At 37.9% G+C, this 27,387-nt stretch overlaps 1 protein-coding gene across 8 annotated transcripts in view; it reads left to right on the top strand.

The window, feature by feature from the left end:
• The window catches only part of SLC22A3 (solute carrier family 22 member 3), a 104,200-nt gene that overhangs the window by 44,769 nt on the left and 32,044 nt on the right, over positions 1–27,387 (top strand). For all 8 annotated transcript variants that reach the window (XM_005267106.6, NM_021977.4, XM_047419262.1 and 5 more), the window contains exons 2-5: positions 4,833–4,936; positions 13,895–14,049; positions 15,607–15,775; positions 17,583–17,700. In XM_005267106.6, coding sequence (XP_005267163.1) covers positions 4,833–4,936; positions 13,895–14,049; positions 15,607–15,775; positions 17,583–17,700 — 546 coding nt within the window. The remainder of the gene's footprint in view (positions 1–4,832; positions 4,937–13,894; positions 14,050–15,606; positions 15,776–17,582; positions 17,701–27,387) is intronic.

A 27,387-nucleotide genomic window follows, 5' to 3' on the forward strand; every position in this document is an offset into this window, starting at 1 on the left:
AAGTGAGAATTTGTTCAAGAGGGCTAACCTAGAACCCAGTGGAAAAATCCAGCTGATGGTCACCTGGGTCCATTCCCTATGGTCTGAGGAGCAAATGAGGCCCCTCTCCTGAGTTTATTTATTTATTTATTTATTTTATTTATTTATTTATTATTATTATACTTTAAGTTTTAGGGTACATGTGCACAACGTGCAGGTTTGTTACATATGTATACATGTGCCATGTTGGTGTGCTGCACCCATTAACTCGTCATTTAGCATTAGGTATATCTCCTAATGCTATCCCTCCCCCCTCCCCCTACCACACAACAGTCCCCAGTGTGTGATGTTCCCCTTCCTGTGTCCATGTGTTCTCATTGTTCAATTCCCACCTATGAGTGAGAACATGCGGTGTTTGGTATTTTGTCCTTGTGATAGTTTGCTGAGAATGATGGTTTCCAGCTTCATCCATGTCCCTACAAAGAACATGAACTCATCATTTTTTATGGCTGCATAGTATTCCATGGTGTATATATGCCACATTTTCTATGCCTTTTGAATACTTGCATTATTTTCTGCCTTGCTTCTTACCTTTGACCTTTGTAAATGGGAGATTATTTGTTGCTCTTGTTTTAAGGATAATTTAGAAATGACAACTTTAGCATATATCTAATAATTACTTGCCCCAGCATTTCATCATTACAACTCAAATTAACATAATGTCTGTTTGGATTTTAACAAAGAAGAAAAGCTAAGAAAAACCTTCACTTGGAAACCCTTCAAAAGTTTCTCATTTGGCTACAGTTACTCAGGCTTTCTGCAAAACGAAGCAATGTTATCCTTACATTACACCAACAGTTGTTTGAGTCTTTTATCAGACTGACTTTCTGCTCATGCCAAAAGGCGTCATTTTCTTTGTGTAAAAGTGACTTTGAAGATTAATAAGTAACAGAATGGGTACACATGGATTTATGAACATTTAAAATTGCTTAATGTTTTTGCATGTGTATACTTTGAAAAAAAATAGGAGATGCCCCAGTTGTTCTACATAGATTGCCTTAGGAGAAGGACATAAATGTGCGTCATTGATTCAGACTTAAGTGAATTGTTGGTGATCCACAATGATCTCCCATTGACAAGAGGTGGGTTTTTGGTCTCCCAAGGAACTACAACAAGCTTTTAGTACTTTATATCAGAAAAAAGTACTTAGCCTGTGAAGCTCATGGCTTTGGTGCCCGCTAATCTCTCTTTAAACACGAAAGATACATCGCAGGCCCAGAGCTGTTGCATCAGCAGGCAGGCAGCAAGCTGAGAGCTGATTAGGAAGCGTCAGCCCCTAGAGGCAGAGGTCTGCCCCCTGACTCTATGAGCAAGAGTCAACATCAAGCCCTTCAATCCTTGGGCCTGCAGTTTTCCCTGTACAGGAAACACAAGCGTGTGTGGATGTGTGTGCATTTCTTTAGAAACACATAATTTGTTTGTTGCTTTATTTTCTACCTTTGAAAGATGGCAAGATCCCAGTCACAAAAACAGAAACCAGGCTAGGTATTTTAACCAGAGAGGGATTTAATAAAAGCGTTAGGATTTGAGCTGTTTTGGAAGAGCTGAAGAAGAAGGAGAGGACAGGGGTCAGGAAGGACAGTTCCTGCAGTGTCCTGCCCTGCTGGGTGGCCATTACAAAGCTGGCAGCTGTGGGGCAGTATCCCTTTGCCCCCATGTGGCCAGGCACACGGGGCACTGGCTGACTCCCACAGCCACCACTGTCAGGATTGGAGCTGGAGCTGCTGCCACAGCCAGAAGCAGAATGTCCACTACCTCCCTCCTACCTTCTGATTTTGCACTAGCTCCCTACTGGTACAACCTACACAGAACCCTGCCAGTAAAGGAATCTGAGAAATGTAGTCCCCTGAGGTACAGAAAACACAGAAGGGCAGGCAGTATCTGGCCCAGATGCCTATCATAAAGCTTTAGAAAATGTTGTGTTATCGCTGCACTTTAACCATTGAAGTATTTATTTTAAATTGATTCTTATTTAAATATCAAATATAAGAGAAATCCTATTTGACTATGCCTTTTATGGGACAGTCAAGAAGATAATCAGTATTATATTAAAGAATATTTTATGGGTTTAAAGAATATTTTGGGGGCATTTTAATTCACATAGTTCAAAAGCAGCTGAATACATGTATTAAAAGGCAAGCTCTTGATAGGCCTTGCTATGTCATCTACGAAAAGCACTCCTGTTTGCCTCTGCTAGCTAACTCAGCTATTTGAAGTACAGATGGATGAAGCAAATTCTACTGTTTGGGTTTTTATATTTGACACTGGTTGATACTTTTCCAAAGCAAATGTTGCATTTCCGCTGGTAGTTTGATTTCGCTGTTTGCTTTCTGAAATTCTATGTACTTTTATTTTAGTACATAGAATAACTATGCCTGCTTAATTCCAATGAGAAATTATTTCAGATAAATAATCATCAACTTGTTTACTTAAAATAAAATTTTTGTACCTCGAAAAACCAAAATTGATAATAAAAATCCTTTAAAATGACCATGATTACAACTATTATGCATATCTGTAAATCTCTTTACTTCTTACATCTTGACTGATCATCTCAGCAACTCTGTGAGAAGCCAACTACTACTGCCTCCAAATTTTTTCCAACTATGTTAGGTGACAGGTCATTAGCTGTAAAACCAAGGCAAGAAGTTGGACTTTATAAGTAAATACGATAGTTTACTTATGAATATGTATTTATGAGACTCCTCAAAATTCATATTCCAACCACATTAATTTTCTCTTCATGCTAGAGTCTAATGCAGTGGTTAGACTGCAGCATGAAACTGGGGTAAGCATACCACTTGGAGATTTGCAAAGATGATCACAGGAATTGTCGGCCTGGATAATTTTAAGGGAGCCAGTTTTCAGATCCTCAACCTACATTCGTACTCTTTCCCAAAACAAATTCGTCTAAGAATATGTCCCTTTTAAGGATGCAGGTTCCTACCCAAAATTGTACTTTTCCCACTTTGCAAAATTAATCATGCCTCTCTCTCATCTTTCTCTGAGGCATTGACTTGAAGTTTTAAAATCTTCAGGGCAACAAACAATGGGACAATTTGACATATTGTTCCAGTATTAAGAAAGTAACTTTCTTAATGTAAGACTAATTATAAGTAAATGTAAATGACTGATGACTTAATTAAACAACTTTTTGTAAGTCTGATGGTTTCCATTTTTTTCCTTAGAGCAGAACTGTAGGAGAACTTACATGACATGCTGGCTAATAAAAAAGTAAAAATAATTTGGTGATAGATCACTGTGAATCTTGGCATACAGCTGAGAAGGAGGTTAAAGAATTGAGTAACATTTCTGTAGCAAAACTCCCTTCATTCCCACTGATTTATTTATATGGAAAAATCTTCTTGGCCCATAAATTTATAAAAATGAAAAACAGAAATAGAATTAATTTTGAGCCCTAACTCATTCTAGTAATAAATAATATATCCACTGATTTCATGACCTAACTAGAAAAACTTAGACTCGCTTTTGGCCATGGAGACATACATTTCCAACAAAATTTTACTTCTGCATAATAATTATTTCTTAAAATTTATTACATCTTATTTTTTTATCAATTATGATCTAAAGATAATTGTAATTATAACCCAAGCAGAAAAAATCCAATATTTAGAGACTTATTGCCACAGGAAAATTTTAAAAATTAAATGTCAATTTATATATGTAACTTATTGTACATAGAAGTATGGTGACAAAACCTATAAAATATTTTCTACACGAAATACATTACATTAGAATAAAAGTCTGTGGAAATGAAAATAAGAGCTCAAAGAGAAAAAAATTGATGTCAAATTTCAGACTATTAAAGAACAGTCTGTTTATAGCAATTGGACACCTGATAGCATATAATATTCATACTCTATTGCAGCCATCCCTTCCTTTTTGGCACTAGGGACCAGTTTTGTGGAAGACAATTATTCCATGGATGGAGGGAGTGGGGGCTGTTCGGGGAGATGGTTTCAGGTGAAACTATTCTACCTGAGATCATCAGGCATTAGTTAGATTCTCATAAGAAGTGCGCAACCGAGATTTCATGCGCCGCCCACAATAGGGTTCACGCTCCTATGAGAATCTAATGCCGCTGCTGAGCTGACAGGAGGCAGAGCTCAGGCAGTAATGCTCGTGGCCCACTACTGCTCACCTCCTTCTGTGCGGTCTGGTTCCTAACAGGCCACAAACTGGTACTGGTCCATGACTCGGTGGTTGGGGACTCTTGCTCTATTCAATACGCTTAAAAGAATGATGTTGGCCAGGCGCGGTGGCTCACTCCTATAATCCCAGCACTTTGGGAGTTTGAGGTGGGCAGATTACGAGGTCAAGAGATCGAGACCATTCTGGCCAACATGGTGAAACCCCATCTCTACTAAAAATACAAAAATTAGATGGGCGTGGTGGCGCACACCTGTAGTCCCAGCTACTCAGGAGGCTGAGGCAGGAGAATCGCTTGAACCCGAGAGGCAGAGGTTGCAGTAAGCAGAGATTGCTCCACTACACTTCAGTCTGGTGACAGAGCGAGACTCCATCTCAAAAAAAAAAAAAAAAAGAACGATGTTATAACAACATAGTATACTGAAAATTACATCCTTTGCAGTTATTTAAACAAAGGATATTTATGTGTTAATGTAAACATACGTATGTGATACATTTTCAAAATTTATTTAAAGAGTATATGAGCAAAAATCTTTACAGATCATTGATCTATACAAAAGATAAGGTGTTTTGAAGATCTGCATTCTGGCATGTCTCCATGTGTGTTTTCTTTGTTTTCTCAGTTTGACCTTGTCTGTGTCAATGCGTGGATGCTGGACCTCACCCAAGCCATCCTGAACCTCGGCTTCCTGACTGGAGCATTCACCTTAGGCTATGCAGCAGACAGGTAGGTACCAATGTGACAGCCATTTTATGTCACTATAATACCATGCATTAATACGGGGAGAAAAATGTTTTATGTTAACTATTAAAACAATATTTTTGCTAAATTCGCAAACAATTCTTGATTCCATCATTCATGACATCCACACTTGGTTGGTTTGACTAATTCTTTTCTTTTCAAACTTCATCTCCTTATTCCTTGAACTTCACAAAGGTCTGAGGCTGTTCCCGGTAGGACTGAGAGCATCAGAATGAAAACACAGACCTCCAAAGCAGGAACATCATGACTGGGTTGATGCACTGTTATGCTGAATACTACAGAATCAATCAATTCGATGTGCTTCAGTAACAACTTACTGATTGTGGTTTTATTAATTTAGTCATAAGATTAGCCTATTCCAAATTTGTTTCACCTAATTTTTTTTTAAACGAAATCCTTGTATTTTATTCTACAAATGTAAAACTCTGTGAAAAAAATATTTTTCCAAAAACCACTAAAGGAGTTTTTTTCTATTATTTTGTATTCATAAATGCAACTGCCCAGTGGCAGGCATGGTGAGTGTGTATATTCAAGACATCATGCTTTCTATTTAAATATTCTTCTTCCTTAAGATTATTGATGCTAGCTATTGTATTCATGTTTAACTCTATTTTTAATTCCAATTCTAACTATGAAAATACTTGCAGTAATTTAATATTCCTCTCTATCCCCCTTAGCAGGAGTAATAGGAATATAGACTGGAAATTGCTGACTCATGGCTGTATCTGGCCTAATATTGTTCTGGTTAATCCATCTCTGACTCATGGCCATATCTGGCCTAATATTGTTCTGGTTAATCGAGCCCAGCCCATGGTGGGTTCTTGTGACTGTACCATTCAGTGGGTGATACTAAGTTTACCTTTAGAGAACTGCAAACAGCAATTAATTAGCTAATAGAACAACAAAAGGCCCCATATCCTGTAGCCAATTGAAGATCTGAGTTTAATCAGACCAGTGCTTCAAAATGGGTAGAGCCTTGGGTTTCATTTTCTGTCACTTTTTCTTTCTCTTTCATGTTTCTCTCTCGCCCTCTCCACAGCTGTCCTTTGCATGTGAGTTTCTGCTGGATCCTTTCATGTGTGATGCCCTTTCCCCTTTTTCTTCTTTTTATCGATGTCCTTTTCTCCTGTTCTACTTCTAGCCCTTTCAAGCTTCATCTTTCCTTTCCTAATTTCCCCCACATGCCACTCTTTTTTTGCTGGCTACAATTTGGAACTGTGCAGTTTAAATATTTATTTATTTTGTTTTGTTTTTACTCTTTCTAATTTGGATATTAGGTTTTGCTTCATCTGTGTTTTTTTTCTCTTACTCAGTCAATAACCATATCTCCAAACTAAATTAACGTTACTAAAGTGGGGAATTTCCCCTTCCTATATTCTCATAAGTGATTGAGCATCTGTCCTCATATAGGACTTGCTGCCTTGGAGGGGAGGGGCCAGACCTGGGAAAAAGAGGAGCCATGAATAACTCTGCTTCCTACATTTGGCTTCTTCTCTTCCTCCATATCCATGATTTATATATGTGAAGGAAGAACAAGAAATAACTTAATAGGCCATTTGTCAATGAGAGTACAGTGTAGGAAGGGTGGAAAGTGAATATAAAATCTAGATTGGGGCTTCTGGTTTCCTGTTCAGCCTATAAGGAGCTTAGAATTTGCCACTCAGTCTTGACAACAAGTAAAATGCTGAACAAACTGAAAAATCAATAATTCTTCTCAGATCCATAAGAGAAGTGAGATTACAGGGCAAACTACTACCTTCAGCATCACCCCGCACCCCCAACCCCACTAAATAGAAAGACAGGAGAATACAGAGAATCATAACACAGGCGCAGAAACCTCCTTGAGAGAGCCAGGGTAGATAAACATGAACTGTAATTGATGAATTCCTGGAGGATCACTGTGGATGACCTGAAGGATTAAAAACTCTAGAGGGACTCACTCAAAGGAGGGCCCAAGCTTTTGTGATTTTTTTTTTTTTTTTTTTTTTTTTTGCCACCTGAAGCTCTACAAGGTTCCAAAGGTGAATATTAAGGAAAATCCCTCATGCTCTGGCAGCCAGAGGGGAAAAGGAACAATTTTGAAATATGCCAGAATATCGTTCTTAACAATGTCTGCCCTCAGGAGAAGATGTTTAACCAGAGCCTAATCTTCTGGGGTTTTCTGAGAGCCTCATTGATCTGGGGGAAGGGAAATACCAACTCCAGCCCCTTCTAGCCTTCCAAGTGGAGAAAGAGAAACACCAAATTCTAGCCTCCTCTAGCTTTCAACTTGGAAGAAGGGAAATACCCAGCTCCAGCCCCCTCTAGCCTTTCTCCCCTAGTTCAGAGGAGAGGGATAGAGAAGCATTTGTGAAGTTCACCGTTTAGAGACATAGGTTCACTAAAAGACTGAGAGCTACTCATAGAACCACAGAATGCCTTCCCTCCCCCAACACCTCACCACCACATTACTAAAGGTCTATTTATAGCAGTTCCGTTTACCCAGTACACCATGTCCACCTATCAAGAAAAAATTACAAGACATACTAAAAGCCAAAACACACACACACACACACACACACAGTTGAAGAGACAGAGTAAGCATCAGAACTAAATTCAGATATGGCAGGGATGTTGGAATGATCAGGCTAAGAATGTAAAACAACTATGCCAAGAAGTCTGATGCATAAAGTAGCATGCAAGAACAGTTGGGCTATGTAAGTAGAGAGATGGAAATTCTAAAAAAAGAAACCAAATGAAATGCTAGAGATCAAAAACACTGTAACAGAAATGAAAAACGTTGTTACTGGGCTTATTAGGAGATTGGGCATAGCTGAGGAAAGAATCTCTGGCCTTGAGGATATCCCAGTAGAAACCTCCAAAACTGAAAAAAAAAAAAAAAAAAAAAACCCACACACACAATAACAACCACCTGAAAAAGCAGAACAGAATGTTCAATAACTGTGGGACAATTACAAAAGATATAATATATGTGTAATAGGAATACCAAAAGGAGAATAAAGAGAGCGAGAAATAGAAAAAATATTTTAAACAATAATGACTGAGAATTTTTCAAAATTAATGGCAGACACCACAGATCCAGGAAACTCAAAGGAAATCAAGCAAGATAAACATAAAAAAGTATACCTAGTTATATCGTAGTCAAACTACAGAAAGCCAAAGATAAAGGAAAAATTCTGAAAGAAGAGTGGGGGGATAATGTCTTACTATAGTAAAAGAGCAATGATAAAAATTACACCCTACTTCTTTTCAGAAACCAGGTAAGCAAGAAGAAAGTGGAATACTTAAAGTGTCAAGAAAAAAAATCCAATCTAGAATTCTATACTGTGCAAAGTTATCATTTAAAAGTGAAGGAGAAATAAAGACTTTGTTAGACAAAAATTGAGGGAATTTGATGCCTTGTAATAAATGTTAAAAGAAATTATTTAGAGAGAATGAAAATGATCTAGGTTAGAAATCCAGATCTACATAAAGGAAAGGCATTGGAGAGGAATAAGCAATTGAGAATATGTTTCTTATTCTCAATTGATCTAACAGATAATAGTTTATTCAAAATAATAGCAACAATGTGTTTGGTTGTGTATGTTTATATATATAAGCATACATAAGCATATATAGAGTATTTTTTGTTATAAGGTACTCATACTACTCATGAAGTGATACAGTGTTATTTGAAAGTGGATTTGAATTAGTTATAAATGTATATTGTAAACTCTAAAGCAACTACTAAAAAAAGATTTTTTTTAAAAAAGCATGACTGATATGCTAAAATGAAGAAAATGTGGAATCCTATAAACTGCTGTTCAATGAAACCACAAAAGCCAGGAAAAAGTGTGGAATACAAACATAAGAATAAAAAATAAGGGAAACAAATAGAAGATGATAACAAATACGGTAGACATTAATCCAACCATGCCAATACTCACTTTAAATGTAAGATGGTCTAAATGAGCCAACTAAAAGACAGAGATTTTCACAGTGGATCAACAAACAAGACCCAACCATATATGTTGTCTACAAGAAATCCACTTTCAATATACAGACACATATACACTAATAGTAAATGGATGGAGAAAACTATACCATGATAGCAGTAATCAAAGTAAAGCAGAAGTAGCTATACTATTATCAGCAGAGCAGACTTCAGAGGAAGGAAAGTTATCAGGGATAAAAACGGGCATTATATAATGACAAAGGGGTCAATTCTCCAAGAAGCCAATAATCCTTAATATCTATGTGTTTAGTAGCAGAGCACAAAATTATAAGAGGCAAAAACTGTGATAAAACTGGAATGAGAAATAGATTAATCCACGATTTCACTGGAGACTTCAACATCCCTTTGTTGGAAATGGTCAGATTCAACAGGTAAAAAACCTATAAAGATATAATTGAACTCAACAGCATCATCAATCAACTGTATCTAATTTTCCTCTTTAGACAACCTTATCTAACAACAGCAGACTTAACATTTTTTTCAAGTTCTAATGAAATATTCACATGCAATATTCAAGATAAATCACATTCTGGGCCATAAAACATATATTAGCAAATTTGAAGAAATAAAAATTATACAATCTCTGCTCCCAGAACATAGTGGAATTAAACTAGAAATTCATAACAGAAGGATAGATGGAAAATCCCCAAATACTTGGGGATGAAACAACACATCTATAGTAACACATAGGTCAAAGAAGAAATCTCAAGAGTAATTAAAAAGTATAGTAAACAAAATGAAAATGAAAACACTCAAGACTTTTGGAATGCAACAGAAACAATGTTTAAAGGGAAATTTATAGCATTGAATACATATATTAGAAAAGAGGAAATATATAAAATCAATAATCTAAGCTTTCACCTTAGGAAACTGGAGAAGAGCATATTAAACCCAAGGCAAGTAGAAGAAAAAAAAATACAAATTGGAGCAGAAATCGATAAAATTAGAAACAGGAAATCAAGGGAGAAAATAAAACCAAAAGCTGGTTATTTGAAACGATCAAAAAAAATCAATAAGCCTCCAGTCAGACTAAGAAAAAAGAAAGAGGAGAGAGAGAGAGGTTGAAGACATAAATTACTAATATTAGAAATAAAAGAGGGGACATTTTGACGGATCCCATGGACATTAACAGGATAATAAAGAAATACTATGAACACTCTGTGTTCACAAATTTGATAACCTACATGAAATGGACCAATTCCTTGAAAGATTACAATCTGCCAAAACTCACCCAAGATTATATAGACAATCTGAATAGGGCTATATCTATTAAATAAATTGAATCAATAGTTAATTACTTTTCAAAACAGGAAGCACCAGGCCCAGATGGGTTCACAGGTGAATTTGCCAAACGTTTAGAGAAGAAACTCTACCAATTCCCTAAAAGCTCTTTCCAAAGATAGAAGTAGAGGGATTGCTTTCTAACTTATTCTGAGACCAGCATTACTTTAATACCTAAATTGGACAGACATTACAACAAAAGAAAACTACAGACTAATATATTTCATGAACATAAGTGCAAAAATCCTCAACAAAAATTTGCAAGTAGAATCCAATAGTGTATAAAAAAAATTATACACCACAACCAAATACTGTAGCATACCAAGTGCGTAGTATCCCAAGTATGTAAAACTGGTTCAGCATTCTAAAGTCAATTAATGTCATCCATCAATCACATCGACAAACTAAGGAAGAAAAAATGACATGATCATATCAATAGATACAGACAAAGTATTTGTCAAAATCCAACATCTATATATGACAAAAGCTCTCAGTAAACTAGAAATATAGGGGAACTTCCTCAACTTGATAAGGAATGTCTATTAAAAAAACTACAGTTAACATCATACTTAATGACGATAAACTGTACAGAAGCTTTCTCACTAAGATCAGAAACAAGCCAAATATGTCATCTCTAATAACTTCTTTTCAATGCCATGCTAGAAGCCCTCGCTAATACAATAAATAAGACAAGTAAAGAAAATAACAGGTATACTGATTGGAAAGGAAGAAATAAAAACTGTCTTTGTTCACAGATGTCATGATTGTCTATGTAGAAAATCAAAAGAATTAACAACAACAACAACCAAAAAAAAAAACTCCTGAAACTAATAAGTGAGTATAGTGAAGTTGCAGGGTACAAGGCTAATACACAAAAGTCAACTGCTTTCCTATGTACCAACAATGAACAAGTAGGATTTGAATTTAAACACATAATGCCATTTACATTAGCACCACAAGAATACACAACACTTAGATATAAATCTAACAACATATGTACAAGATTTATGTGAGGAAAAGTGCAAAACTCTAATGAAAGAAATTAGAGATGATCTAAATAAATGGAGAGATATTCAACATTCATGGATAGGAAGACTCAATATTGTCAAGATGTCAGTTCTTCCCAACTTGATGTATATATTCAATACAATACTAATCAAAATCCTACAGAGTTATTTTGTGGATATTGACAAACTAGTTCTAAAGTTTATATGTAGAGACAAAAGACCCAGAATAGCCAACGCAGTACTGAAGGAGAAGAACAAAGCCAGAGGACTGGCACTACTTAACGTCAAGACTTACCGTAAAGCGACAGTAATCACGACAGTGTGGTATTTGTGAAAGAATAGACCTCTACCAATAGTTCAGTGGAATAAAATAGAGGGCCTAGAAATAGACCCACATAAATATAGTCAACTGACCTTTGACAAAGCAGAAAACAAAAGGTACTGGAACAACTGGACAACCACATGCAAAAAAAAAAAAAAAATGAATCTAGACACAGACCTTACACCCTTTAAAAAAAATGGATCACAGACCTAAATGTAAAATACAAAACTGTAAAACTCCTAGAGGATGGGATAGGAAAAAAATCTAGATGACCTTTTAGATACAACACCAAAAGCATAATCCATGAAAAAAAGAACTGATAAGCTGGACTTCATTAAAATTGAAATTTTCTTGTTGTGAGAGAGACATTATCAAGAGAACAAATGAAATGACAAGACACAGACTGGGAGAAAATATTAACAAAAGGCAAATATTTGATAAAGAACTGTTATCCAAAATATATAAAGAACTCTTAAAACACAACAATAAGAAAATAAACAACCCAACTAAAAAGCGGGCCAAAGATCTTAACAGATAGCTCACCAAAGAGAGTATACAGATGATAATAAGCATATGAAATGATGCTCTACGTCATATATCATCAGGGAAATGCCCATTAAAACAGCAGTGAGATACCACTACATATCTATTAGAATGGCCAAAATCCAGAACAATGCCAACACCAAATGCTGACTAGGATGTGGAACAACAGGAATTCTCATTCATTGCTGGTGAGAATGCAAAATGAAAGGTGACTTTAGATGACAAAATTCTTACACATTTTTGTAATTCTTACAAAATTAAACATACTTTTACTAAATGATCCAGCAATTGTACTCCTTGGTATTCCAATTCCAACCCAAAAAAGTTGAAAACTCATGTTCACCCAAAAACCTACACATACATGTTTATAGCAGCTTTCTTCATAATTGCCAAAACTTGGAAGCAACCAAGATGCCCTTCCATAGGTGAATGGACAAACTGTGATACATCCAGACTATGGAATATTATTCCATGCTGAAAAGAAATGAGCTATCAAGCTATGAAAATACATAGAGGAAACGTAAGTACTTATTACTAAATGAAGAAACTGATCTGGAAAGGCTACATACTATAAGATTTTAACTATATGACATTTTGGAAAAAGCAAAACTATGGAGACAGTAAAAAAAAGGATCAGTGGTTGCTAGAGGGTGGGGAGAGGGAGGGATGAACAGGCAGAGCACAGAGGATTTTTAGAGCAGAGAAACTATTCTGTTAGATACTTTAATGGTGGATACGTGTCATTATACACATGTCAAAACACATAGAATTTGCAACATCAAGAGTGAACCCAAATGTAAACTGTGGACATTGGGTGATTATGATGTGTCCCTGTAGGTTCGTCAATTGCAGCAAGTGTACCACTCCCATGGGGAATGTTAACAAGGAGTATGCTGTGCATGTGTAGGGGCAGGGGACAGAGTCCACTAAAAAAAATTTTAGATAAACTAAGGCTACTTCCATCTCTACTCTGCTGACTCAAGCAAGATGCTATATGTACATATTTTATGGAAATTTTTATGAAAAGATGTAATAGAATCAAATCTCTTAATGGACATTGATAGCAAACATTTACCAGACAATAATTTGACACCACTATGCTGAACCAATTCACACCAGTCTCTCAGAATGTTGTGCATGTTACCTTGTTCCTTTTCCTAAACTATTTAATAACACATATGCCAATGGTGAAAATAAAATACAAAATTTAAGAACAACTGACATTGGCTGTGAACTTTGTAGTTTATAAAACACTTTCACATTAACATCTCATTTGATCCTCTCTACAACCTCCCTCTAGAAAAAGGTGGGAATAAACAAAAACAAGCAAGCAAAACCTTCGTTTTGAAGACCTTAGGAATTAGCCCAAGGTCTTATGACTGGTAGATGGTTGAGGTGAGATTCAAGGCAAGGCCTTCTGGCCATAACACACCATTCCTTCTTCTTTCTGCCTCTCTGTCCTTATGACTTGACACATAAAAAATGCTAGAAAGTGTCACATCTGTACCACCGGGGAGACTCTGTGTGAAACAATAGTTTCAAGGAGGGTCATCTTTTCAGAAACTGCAATCACAAAGGATGCATTCTGTACTTTAAATTTTGTAATTCCAGCCTAGGCAACATAGGGACACCCTGTCTCTACAAAACATCTTTAAAATAAAATGATATAATGTAATACAGTATAATATGGTATGATATAATATTTTATGTTATATTTTCCCATTGTGTTGAAGAAAATGTTTAAGGTGAGCTCTTTTCCTGTCTTTCTCAAAAAGGTATGGCAGGATCGTCATTTACTTGCTATCCTGCCTTGGTGTTGGCGTCACTGGGGTTGTGGTGGCCTTTGCACCAAACTTCCCTGTGTTTGTGATCTTCCGCTTCCTGCAAGGTGTATTTGGAAAGGGGACGTGGATGACTTGCTACGTGATTGGTAAGACATTCTTACACCATCTTCTCTATTTGGAAACTAGGGCCAGATAGCCAACAAATGCTAGTTAATCAACCTTCCTCTTCCTCATGTGTCCTTTAACAAAGGAGGTTTCACTGCAGCTACAGTAATTATTTCTGCAGATGGGAGAGCTCAGAGGTAGGATTCTGAGTGCTTTAGAAACTAAAATACCACCTTACTTTGGGAGCCAAATATAGAATATTATAAAGCACTGGGGCAAACTACTTTTATGTACTTCTACACTGTTATAATATGGTTTCTAGCTTTGCTTTATAAGAAATTAATTTTTATAAAATCTCAGTAGCTTCTTGAGGCATTTTTGAGGCATTTTTAAAGCATTTTCTCTGCACTGTGTTATGTGATACAGTTTGAGATTACTTTCCTGTGTTGCCAACTCTCCTCTTTCTGTACAAGTGGGAAACTTTTTACTATGGGAGAAATAGGTTCTAAAAATGAGAAGTTCATTTGTGACCCTTGGATACCTTCTATAGCCAGAAAGTTTGACCTTCTGGTGATGGAAGAAAGAAAAAGTTCACTTTACTTTTTTCTCATGTCCCTTGGGAAAGCCCTGGCTACTCCTTTTGGTTCCATTTCTAGCTTGGGACCAGCCACTTACTTTAAGAGTAGTGGTGGATTTCTGACCAGGAAAATGTGAATTCTCATCTTAGATTATTGCTGCAGATCTTTGCACTTCCACTCTCCTCTGTCACTGCTATACAATCTCCAAGCAGTGCGCATTTTGGAGACCCCTGAAGACCTTTCTGTGAGTGGGAGAAGGAGAGAAGATGATTAGAGGGATTGGTTGTCACTGTCTGGAACAGAAGGAGTAACATTGGAAGGCAAGGCATTTTTAAGGAGACTCAGCCTAGGTGAATCTTCAAAGTTGTGATCTGAGGGCAACAATAAAGTAGCCTATCCCAGGATAATCAGAATATGAGAAACCAATTAGTGGGAAGGGGCAGGAAAGGAAAAGATTTCAGCAATAAAATTTCCCATGTGATTTTTAGAGCATATCCTGTCAATGAAAAGTATAACACTGTGGAGAGAATTATCATTTAATAGAAGTTGTCTTGTGATAACGAAAAGTCTTTGTAGAGTCTTATATTTATAATGAATCTTCTAAGGAGACTAGAATGTGCATATCTCTAGAGATACAGTGATAAAATGTAGCCATCTTAACATATTTATGTTTTGATAATTACAATTACCTTTTAAAATAATCATCACTGAAGCTTTCCTAAAACCAACACAGATATTCTTCGTATTTCCCTATTGTACCCAGAAGAGTGCTGGTCTGGGTGCATAAGAGGAACATGGCAAGTGCCTGTGATAAATGGCAGAGGTGAGAGTGGGAGAAAAGCATTTAGTATCAAGAAGGACACCTCCATCCTTTCTGCAAGTGTGGAAGCCTCCGTATCTGAGTGCTAGCGTGTTCTAGCAATGCTGATGGATGTAACAGGTGTAACATCTCTGTATTTGTTTGTTTATTTTGGAGCTGACCTTGTGCTTCTGTGACCTCTTGTGTTTGTTTTCCTTTAGTGACAGAAATAGTAGGTTCGAAACAAAGGAGGATTGTGGGAATCGTGATTCAAATGTTCTTTACCCTTGGAATCATAATTCTCCCTGGAATTGCCTACTTCATCCCCAACTGGCAAGGAATCCAGTTAGCCATCACGCTGCCCAGCTTTCTCTTCCTCCTTTATTACTGGTAATGTGGTTTTGGTTATCATCATATTTATACTGATTCTGCAGAAATTAGACTCCAAACAGACATGAAAATGAAAGCAATAAAGAAAATTTTCTTTTTTTTTTTTTTTTTTATTATACTCTAAGTTTTAGGGTACATGTGCACATTGTGCAGGTTAGTTACATATGTATACATGTGCCACGCTGGTGCGCTGCACCCACTAATGTGTCATCTAGCATTAGGTATATCTCCCAATGCTATCCCTCCCCCCTCCCCCGACCCCACCACAGTCCCCAGAGTGTGATATTCCCCTTCCTGTGTCCATGTGATCTCATTGTTCAATTCCCACCTATGAGTGAGAATATGCGGTGTTTGGTTTTTTGTTCTTGCGATAGTTTACTGAGAATGATGGTTTCCAATTTCATCCATGTCCCTACAAAGGATATGAACTCATCATTTTTTATGGCTGCATAGTATTCCATGGTGTATATGTGCCACATTTTCTTAATCCAGTCTATCATTGTTGGACATTTGGGTTGGTTCCAAGTCTTTGCTATTGTGAATAGTGCCGCAATAAACATACGTGTGCATGTGTCTTTATAGCAGCATGATTTATACTCATTTGGGTATATACCCAGTAATGGGATGGCTGGGTCAAATGGTATTTCTAGTTCTAGATCCCTGAGGAATCGCCACACTGACTTCCACAATGGTTGAACTAGTTTACAGTCCCACCAACAGTGTTTTCAAACATCTCTAAAATGGCTACATGCTTTGAGAATTTTTAGAGAATTTTAGGATTTAAAGAGAGTATTTGTTGATGATTTTATTAATAATTGTGAAGAAAAATGAATTAATAAAATACCAGAACGCAAAATTTTAAGTAGGGTACTGCATTATGTTTTGTTTTGTAATAAATAGCTTCATGAAAACTATAAAGTAACCAACCATATCTGCCAGTATTTCAACATGCAAATTAAATGCAATGAAGTCTATTTGTTTCTCTGTGTGTTCTATAAAGCAAATGAATATTACTCAGAAATTCTCTGAGGAATAAGGAAATGTTAAGAGCATCAAAAAATTACATTATCAAAAAGCAACAGAAAAGCATTTGATTTTTGTTGTTGCTGTTTTGAGATGGAGTCTCACTCTGTTGCCCAGGCTGGAGTGCAGTGGTGCGATCTCGGCTCACTGCAACCTCTGCCTCTCAGATTCAAGTGCTTCTCCTGCCTCATCCTCCCCAGTAGCTGGGATTACAGGCATGCACCACCACACCCAGCTAATTTTTGTATTTTTAATAGAGACAGAGTCTTACCATGTTGGCCAAGCTGGTTGCAAACTCCTGACCTAAAATGATCCACCCACCTCGGCCTCCCAAAAGGCTGGGATTACAGGCCTGAGCCACCACACCCAGCCAGCATTTGATTTTTATTGGAATGAACATGTTTTAATGATTCTTCTAATTTAATTTTAATATATGGGCAAGTCAGTTTACATAAATCAGATTCCTAAGCTTTTCTTAATATTTACTAAATCCCAATTCTTTTCATATATGGAATCAATATATTGTAAGATAGCCTGGTTTTGCAAGAGCAATGTCATGTTGATTATTTTGATGAGCAATGATCCAATTATCAAGCTAGCATTTTTCCCCATCCATTATAACCTTGCAGGAATAATCTGTATTTCAGGGACCTATTATCAACTCTTATTGACTCCTAAATGTATATCTAATTGCAAGATCCATTTTGATAGAAAAACTCAAGGCAATAGATTTTAGCGTTTGAAATTCCTAGACATAACTCACAACAGCCTCCTTCTTTGCCAGGGTGGTCCCTGAGTCTCCCCGTTGGCTGATTACTCGGAAGAAAGGAGATAAAGCATTACAGATCCTGAGACGCATTGCTAAGTGCAATGGGAAATACCTCTCATCAAATTACTCAGAGGTAATTTCTTTCAGTATGAGTAACAAATATTGCTAAAGCTGGTGAATTGATTTTGTTGCTTCTTGTGTACTTAATGTTGCTTCTTAAATTTATATACAAAATATGCATATTATATATATATATGTATGTATGTATATATGTATACACACACACACACACTACCAAACATCTGGGAAATCATTTTCAGTTTGACTTAACTGAAAAAAATCTAGGGAAAAATCATAGGACATATTAAAGAAGAAATGATTATGAAGCTCTATTAGCATTATAGCCAAGGTTAATTGATCATTTCAGTACATATTTTAATAATTGCACCAAGTTACTTGAATTATTATACTTTACTTACTGTAAGCCCCATAATATTGAATCATTCATCTTGATTGTACAAACTGTAAAACTTTTTTTGACTTTTAATTTAAATCTTTAAGTTTGGCCCTGAAAAAAAATCTGTTTATTCATACCAGAGCTTGAGCAGTAATGTAATATTTCAGCCTCTAAACTCCTATATGCTGGTCTTTCTCCCTTTCTTCTTTTCTTCCTCCATTCCTTCCTTCTTCCAAGAAAGGCTTTTTGGATGCCTCTGCATCAGTGTACCAAGAAATAGGGGAGGGCCGGGTGTAATGGCTCACTCCTATAATCCCAGTGCTTTGGGAGGCTGAGGTGGGAGGATTGCTTGAGCCTAGAATTCTAGACCAGCCTGGGCAACATAGCAAGACCCCATCTCTACAAATAGAAAGTTTTAAAAACTATGTGGGCATGGTGGCACGCACCTGTTGTCTCAGCTACTCAGGAGGCTGAAGCAGGAGGATCATTTGAGCCCAGGACTTTGAGACTGCAGTGAGCCATGATCACACCACTGCCCTCCAGCCTAGGAGACAGATCAAGATGCTGTCTCTAAAAAAGATTTTAAAAAAATGAAATGGGACAAAAATTAAAAGCTTTTGCCCTTTGGAATATTTGATATGCACTTGAGGATATAACATATATTTAAAGCAACCCATAAATAATTAGAGAATAGCATATAAAGAAAAATATGATGATGTTTTAGCTCCAAAGACTAAGTGACTACAGAATAACAGAAAGGTTGTTATAAAAGGAATGTTAGAGAAGAATTTTTGGATGATATGAATCTTGATTTAAGACTAGGTTGTCAACATTGTTTTCTTCATAGCATTCAGTTTGATTTCACAGGAACCTTCTGATAAGAACGTTCTGATAAGAACTGGGTTTTGGGGCTGGGTGCGGTGGCTCACACCTGTAATCCCAGCACTTTGGGAGGCCAAGGCAGGTGGATCACCTGAGGTCAGGAGTTCAAGACCAGCCTGGCCAACATGGTGAAACCCCATCTCTACTAAAAAATAGAAAAATTAGCGAGGAGTGGAGACGAGCACCTGTAATTCCAGCTACTTGGGAGGCTGAGGCAGGAGAATCACTTGAACCCAGGAGGCAGAGGTTGCAATGAGACAAGATTGCCCCACTGCACTCCAGCCTGAGCAAAAAGAGTGAAACTCTGTCTAAAAAAGAACTGGGTTTTGTTGGTTCTATTGTCCCCTCCCCAGCCCTTGAAGCTTGGTCATGTATATTTGGATTTCTGCCTTCTTCCTCTCTCTTATATTAAGTGGCAAGCAGTAGGCTCTTTTCCAAAGGTTTCAACTGAACAGATGTCACTGGTGCAATGGTGCAAGTACATTAATGATGTACCTTGAGGTTTACAGATCATAAAATGTGTGGTAAAGATAAAGCATGATCTTTTTAAACCACTATGATTAGTCCATCCTTGTCACTCTTTGAGTGAACACATTTGAGCTGTGTGTTCCTTTTAGGGAAAAATAATATACCCCTGTTTCCCAGCTTGCACTCATCCATTGTCTATAGTCCTCATAGCCAGGTCAAAGATCTGATCATTTGTATTCAATTTTAATCATCCAGTGAATAATCTCTGCTCTTTTGCACACATAGTCCAGAGGTAAGTCCAAGGTTTTGATCTTGATTTAAAGGTCTAAATATAGAAATATATTTAGGAATATAGAATATAGAAGAAACAAATATAGAAGGGAATATAGAAAAATAGGATCATAGAAAATAAATAGGAATAAAGAAAGGAATATATAAAAATAGGAATATATAAAGTGTTCTAGAAAAATAGGCATCTAGAAAGGAATATAGAAAAATAAGAATATAGAAAGGAATATAGAAAAATAAGAATATAGAAAGGAATCTAGAAAGGAATATAGAAAAAACAGCTGTGTGCTGGTAGCTTGTGAAATATAATGTTGGATTAACCAGGCATGTCATGTGTGATGATAGTGAGTATCACTGAGAGATGAGTCTGATTCCCCGAAGCAGCTGCTGTTACACATCCCATGAGTGTACAGTTTAGCACTGCTCCCACAGACCCACTGACCCAGCTTTATTCATGAGCACCGTAGAGATCATGACAACAGGTAAGTAGTTCAATGTTCCACATGGCTGTGCTTATGAGAGATCATGAACTATGGGATCCAGTGGCTTCCAAGTCATTTTAATTTTAATATGGAAATTTCCAAACATACTCAAAAATACAAAAATAGTTGAATGAATCTCTATGCATATCCCTCAGCTCCAACAGTTACCAACTCCTGATCAATCTTAGTTTTTCTATACTCTGCCTAGTTTCCCTATCCACTGAGTAGGAATCAATCCAGCCATCATAGCATTTCATCTTGTAATATTTTCCTCTAAAGTAGGAACACATAGGTATCTCTGGAACTATGTGTGCACTATCTTCAGGACACTGCTGAAGGAGGAGCAAGAACTATTCCTGTGGTTCTTAAAATTCAATACAAGTAATCACACCTTTGATCCACCTGTGGGGACTGATCCCTCTTGTGGGAGCAAAGATGGGGCCATGGTATATAAAATATAAATATAAAACTAATATCAATGTCATTGTCCTAAGAAAAATAACCATGATTCCTTAATATCAAGTCAGTGTTCCACTTCCCTGATTGTCCTACAATGTTTCACCCTGTCTATGTGCATTAGACTCCTCCTGAAGTTATGGATTATGAATTGTTGATCTCTTTGGGTTTATTTAATTCATAGGTTCCTGCCCTTTTTCATTTCATTCCAACTTTGGGAATAAAAAAATTCCTGGGGTTTTTCTCCTGAAGAATTTCCACAGTCTAAATTTTGTTGATTATATCTGTAGGATCCTTTAACACGTTTCTCTGTCTTTTATATTCCCTGTCAATTGGTAGTTAGATCTAGAGCTTAATCAAGTTCAAGTTTAATATTTCTGGCAAGACTACTTCATAAGTGGCTTAGTACATTTCCATTGAGAGATACCTGGTAGCTGCTTGTCTCTTCTTTTGGAACATTACTTGCCACTGATAATCACTGCCTGGATTTACTAACTCATCAGAGGTTGCCAAATGACAATATTCTCATCTTATCATTACTTCTTCATTTATTGCTGCAGTGCTTAAATAAAGACCAATTTCTCCCATCAACTCTTGGTGACACTGAGATATAGCTCATATAGGGAAGACAAGACATATGCATCATTTTTTCTTTTCCAAATAATAAATTGGCTCCCTACATCCTCCCAAAGTGATTAATGAGTTGAGTGTGTTTATTTAAACATAGTTTATATGTTTCAATCCTTTGCAATTGCATTAGTCTGTTCTCACACTGCTATAAAGAACTGCCCAAGACTGGGTAATTTATAAAGGAAAGAGGTTTAATTGACTCACAGTTCTGCAGGGCTGGGGAGGCCTCAGGAAACTTACAATCATGGCAGAAAGGGAAGCAAACACGTGTTTCCTCACATGGCAGCAGGCAGGAGAAGTGCCGAGCAAAGGGGAAAGCCCCTTATAAAACCATCAGATCTCATGAGAATTCACTCACTATCATGAGAACAACATGAGGGTAACCATCCCCATGATTCAATTACCTCTCACTGGGTTCCTCCTATGACACATGGGGATTATGGGAATTACAATTCAAGATGAGATTTGGGTGGGGACACAGCCAAACCATGTTAACAGTTATTTTGGTGAGTACTCTTTCGGATGCTCAAATTGCTCCATCTTTGGGCACACGCAGCTTATCCAGAGTCTGCCACCCTCTAGTAGCTTCTGAATACCTCCTTGCTCTTTAGCACGATGAGATTTTCCAGTCTCATCTTGTAAGTTCCAGTCTCACACATGGAATCACCTATTTCTCCAAGGGAGCTTTGGTTTTTGAAACATATGTCTTCAAACCGAACCTACCCATCTTTAATCTTTTTAATTGTACAGCGTAAGCAGAAAAGCAAAGTGTTATCTTCAAGAGAAGGATTTAACATTTAAGTTTAAAACACCTTGCTAAAAGCGGAATTCAGCCACATTATGGGCCACGTCATAGTTTTCCATCTCAAAGGTCCTTATGTCCCCACAAGCACCATCCTGAGCAGAAAACCTCTTCGTGATGACGCAGAAGGACTGGCCAGCAGGGTAGGCACTGTACTTGAACTCCAACCCCAAAAATCACAGCAGGATTCCATTATAGGTTTTGTGCAATGACAGGTATGACCAGTATAAATTACTCATATTTTGTGATTCAAATACATACTGTCCGTGTCTATGTTAGGATAGCCTTGAAACTGTATGTTTACACAGTTACTTTCACATTAACCCACATCCCTCTCTCTGGATACAGTTTCCAGGATGTTCAGACCCACGACTGAAGTTCCCAGCAATCTCTTTTTACTTTTCACAGAATCTCTCTTCAGTAACTTCTGACTTTTAGAAGACGTTATCACTGTGTAAATGACCTCATCCTTCACGACCTCTCTAATTCCCACCTCATTCTCAGGGTGCCCATTATAGGGTGCGGAGAAGGTTAGAATGGATTTGAAAGAATGTGGTTGGATTCAAAGAAGCCCTAGGAGACCCAACAAGTCAGCATTTTTCTCTTGTGAAAAGAACCACCTGCCAACCCCAGCCTGTTCCATTGCTGACATCAGAGGATCAGGTATATTTAGGAGAAGCTAAGGACCTAGCTTAAATCTACCCAAGGATGTTCCATATTACAGATAAGCTAAATTAACTACAAACTAAGATTACACCAATCTCCAGAGCTTTAGTGAGAGAAGGGAAAATATGAGAGGAAAATAGTATGACAGATTTGATCCAACATTGAAACAGGTGCATTTTGAGGGTTGTTTATCCTGTAAATCATCTCAGTTACAGTTCACATGGATGTTACTCATTTCATGGGTAGGCAAACTCTGTCTCTGCCTCACTTGTTCCTAGGCTTCCATTTGCCAAGGTTTCTGGCTGGCCTCTGGCTTTGTTGAAGAGATAGCTAGCACTAGCAGGGAGAAATACAGGTGATCAGAGTCCAGGCTCTCTGAACATACAAACAGTATAACTGTTGTTCACTAAATGGAAAAATCCCAAAATCAAAAACCAATGCAAAACAGTGAAGTGGCTTGAGCTCCTAGGAGGTTAGGTAGAAATTAAAGAGAATCAGTGGATGGGTAGAATTTTAAGCAGTAGGTAGTTACCCAATGTAGAACGAGGATTAGCTTAGACACCTAGTCTGGTGGTTCTCAGCCTTTCAGCATTTGCATACGATAACTTTTAAGGCTTACTTAAAAAAAAAAAACAAATTATGGGTAAGTCTACAATAATGATAGCACAGGCACAGCTACAGCATGACAGCGTCTCACAATGTCTTCAGGAGCATCCACAATCATCCACTGACCCCAGAGAGCATGTCAAGGATGAGAACTGCTTTCTGCCCTGGCCACACCCTCTGTTTTGCTCATAATGCAAAGTTCTTTTACAGTGCAGTAAATGTGAAATTTTTCTTTGGTATTAGTTAGACATTATTCCTGCTTGTTACTTGTAGTGCCCTGTTTCTTGCCTTACACCTGGTCACTAACCACTCAATTCAACTTTTCACTCTCATATGATAGACAAGTAATAGTACTGTGTGCAAGTGTGAATAATGGATGGAGTAACAATGCTTATCTGAGGATATGGCCATTGCCCCAGGTACTGAATTTGTGTGCTTGTCAAAATAAAAAAGAATGGGCAAGTACTTCAGAGTGTCCACACTTCTGGTGGTAGTAGACTTGGTCTATTGGTGAGTAATGGAGAGCTGGGATTGTTTCTAAGTAAGCATGAACTGCTAATATCTGTGATAAATTGTATTAATCCTCTCAGCTATTCACTTCCTCTCTGTAAGAGGATTTTACATCCCATTCCCACCCATTGCCAGATGATTGACAGCAGTATCTCTCTGTAGGCAATATACTTCCCCACCCAGTGTCAGGCTTGGCCACCTGACTTGATTGCGCCCAAGGAGCAGAAGTGGCAGAATATCAATTCAGGGCAGAAGCTTTGAGAGGCATCATGAATTCCTGACAGCCCTCTTGCTCCTTCTGTCTGCCACAAGAACAGCAGATCCCAAATCAGTGCTGTTCCTTCAGGGTGGGTCTCAGAAGGAGAGCTACAGCCTGGAGCAGAGCTGCAGCAGCTGACCTACAGCTGCTGTATGGGACATGGCCAAGAAAAAGCTGTTTCCCCAGTAAACTACTGCTCAATGTGTCTGCATGTACTACAGAGATTTGGGGGTATCTGTTCTTGCAGCCAAATCTAGCTAATGCAATTGGTCATATTACTAGTTCAACTGCCAGAGTAGGGTTCAACACATTCTTTGGTGATGCAGGGGTATCTGATTGTGGTAGATTAAATTACTGTTTGGAGAGATTCACATTTTCCCTCATTTCCAAGGGATGGAAATACTTCCTGGGTCTATAAATGTTGGGCATGGCAATGATATTGCTTTGGCCTCATGATAGGTGCAGTGGACTTCCTGCCCTTTGATGTTGGGGTTGACCATGAGACCTGCTTTGGCCAATGGCAGGTTGCTAGATGTGATGCAATAGAAGCTTGAAATGTGCTTGTGTGGTTGGGCTTTATCTCTGCACCTCAGCCATCACCATGAAGAGAAAATTCCCAGGCTTACCTATGGGCCCCAAAGGAGGCTGAGAGACATTCAGAATGGAGTTGACCTAGCAAAGCTTCCTCAAACCTACACTAGCAGGCCCCAGCCAGCCCACAAACACATGAGATAAATGAATGCTTACTATTCTATGCTGCTAAGATCGATGGCTCTTATGCAGCATTATTTATCAATAGCTCTGATGGTAAAGTGTCAACTTGATTGGATTGAAGGATGCCTAGATAGCTGGGAAAGTATTGTTTCTGGGCGTGTCTAGGAGGGTGTTGCCAGAGGAGATTCACATTTGAGTCAGTGGACTGGGAGAGGAAGCCTCCCCTCAATGTGGGTGAGCACCATCCAGTTGGCTGCCAGTGTGGCTTGAACAAAGCAGGCAGAAAAAGGTGGGATAGGATGTCTTGCTGAGTCTTCTAGCTTTCATCATTCTCCTGGGCTGGATGCTTCCTGCCCCTGGACATCAGACTCCAGGTTCTTCTTGCACTTACATGAGTGGTTTGCCAGGGGCTCTCGGGCCTTTGGCCACATACTGAAGGCTGCACTGTTGGTTTCCCTACTTTTGAGGCTTTTGGACTCAGACTGAGCCACTCCTGGCTTCCTACCTCCTCAGCTTGCAGACAACCTATCGTGGGACTTCACCTTGTGGCCGTGTGAGCCAATTCTCCTAATAAACTCCCTTTCATAGATATGTAGATCCTATCAGTTTTGTCCCTCTAGAGAACCTTGACCAATATAATAGCTGACTGTGTCAACACTGAGTGAGCAGCCACTGTCACTGTACTGACCTGGATGATGCAGCTACACAGGTAGTAACTGTGGCAGCAGTTTTGGTTTCCTTTTTACTCCCAGGATCTTAAAGGCCTTTATCCTAAAGATCCCTCTCCTCTGCCCCCAACTGCCCATTCCTCCCGTTTTTGTATGGGATATACTCATAGAGAATAGTAGGTTACAGTTCTAGCTAACAAGAAGTCTCTGATACTACAGAACTGAATATGCCCATATTTGTTAGTGATATTTTATCCTATACTGGCGCAATAAACCCATAAGCTTTGATCGTAGTTTCCTTATTTTTTGGATACACTTATGTATTGTTTATAGTGAATCTACTGCTTTTAAAATTAAACATTAGATGTTATATCAATAATGTTCACACATAAACATGCTTGAGGCAGTTCCCATGGTGGTATGTTTATGTGACATCAGGAACGGAATTTGAGCTTTCCAATTCCAAAGGGATTCCTTTAGGCCCATCATCAATATAAATGATACCATTGTTTGAAATATTTGCAAAATAGAAAAAATTAAAACCTCATTAGAAAGTGTCTTACTGATTTTTTTTATTACCTTAGTTGTCAGGGAGACTTCTAGACCTTAATAGCTACCGTCTTTTCTATAATTTAATGAGCAGTCACACAAACACCAATATTGCTACAGAAAGGGACTTTCCAGCTTTGGGAATATCTGTTTCTGACATTTCCTTTCAAAGGGGGATTTTTATAAACATAATTTTTCTTCTTCCAAAAGAGGAACCACACTATGATTCCAACTTCCATGGAGCCCATCGGGGATGGTGGTATTTCAGTTCAATTAGGGTGCTGTCTTTGTTAACTGTTGTGTTTAGTTGTGATCTCAGACTTCAGATTTGAAATCTCTCTTCGGGGAATTCATTTCAAAAGATCCAGATAACATAGTTTAGGCACATGGAGTATCTGAGGGCAGTCCAGTGTTGGAATGAGAAAGATTGAGTCTCAAAAACAAAGAAAGTCTCAAAAACAGTTATTAGAAAGAAAGTCACTGGGAACCCATCCAGCACTTTCTCCTGACAGGGCTGTCTTCCTCCTCTCACTTTACAGGATGAATGGTGCCAATTCTACCAGCAAAGCCTTCATCTTTAAAATGACTCATAAAAATGGTAACTGTAGTATGTGTACCATCACACTCACTTTGACTTAGAATATGCTTGAATGCATAAAAATATGTCAGGACACTGGACATACTCAACACAGAATGGAACTTTGTAGCCAATAATTAATTTAATAATACTTCCTATTTTAAAAAATAGCCTGAGTTCTAGAAATGGTGTGTATTTAAATGGATTTGTTTACTTTCCATGTCTTTAGCTTTTTGAAAACAAGACTATATCGCATAAAATGAGAAAACTGTTCATGCTACAGTGAAATAGCCATAAAGACTGTACCAGTAAACAGTTCCATCCACAGCATGTCAAGACCCCCAACTTCCTTTCTCAAGCATGGTGCCCAGCACTCATTTCCTTCCCCAAATGGAAACTCAGCCTGGCATTGCTCAGGTCAGTGGGCTGTCATTCAACACCGAAAGATATTGAGGGGAGGATGTTCTCCTACACCTTTAATTGAAATGGAAATTCAATTTAAAGGTGCTTTAAAGAATGAGATTGCAGCCTTGGAGCAGGCTAGGCAGACTTGTGGGATGCCTCATCAGACAGCAGCATTTTGCACAAGGAACTATGGTGAGCCAGGGCCTTTCCCCCTACTCACCCAAACTCATCTTCCAGATTTCCTCTGGGAAAATAAATCATTGGGCCATGCCTTTATCAAAATGTTAACTATCTCTGCTGTACAAGTTAGGGCTTGAAAACTATTCGTCAGAACTGGGAAAGGAAAGCATTCCACATTATGGTCCCATAAACTTCCTGCATTCAGTACTTGCAATCAATTC

Source organism: Homo sapiens, chromosome 6, assembly GCF_000001405.40.
Source record: "Homo sapiens chromosome 6, GRCh38.p14 Primary Assembly".
Taxonomy (NCBI): Eukaryota; Metazoa; Chordata; class Mammalia; order Primates; family Hominidae; genus Homo; species Homo sapiens.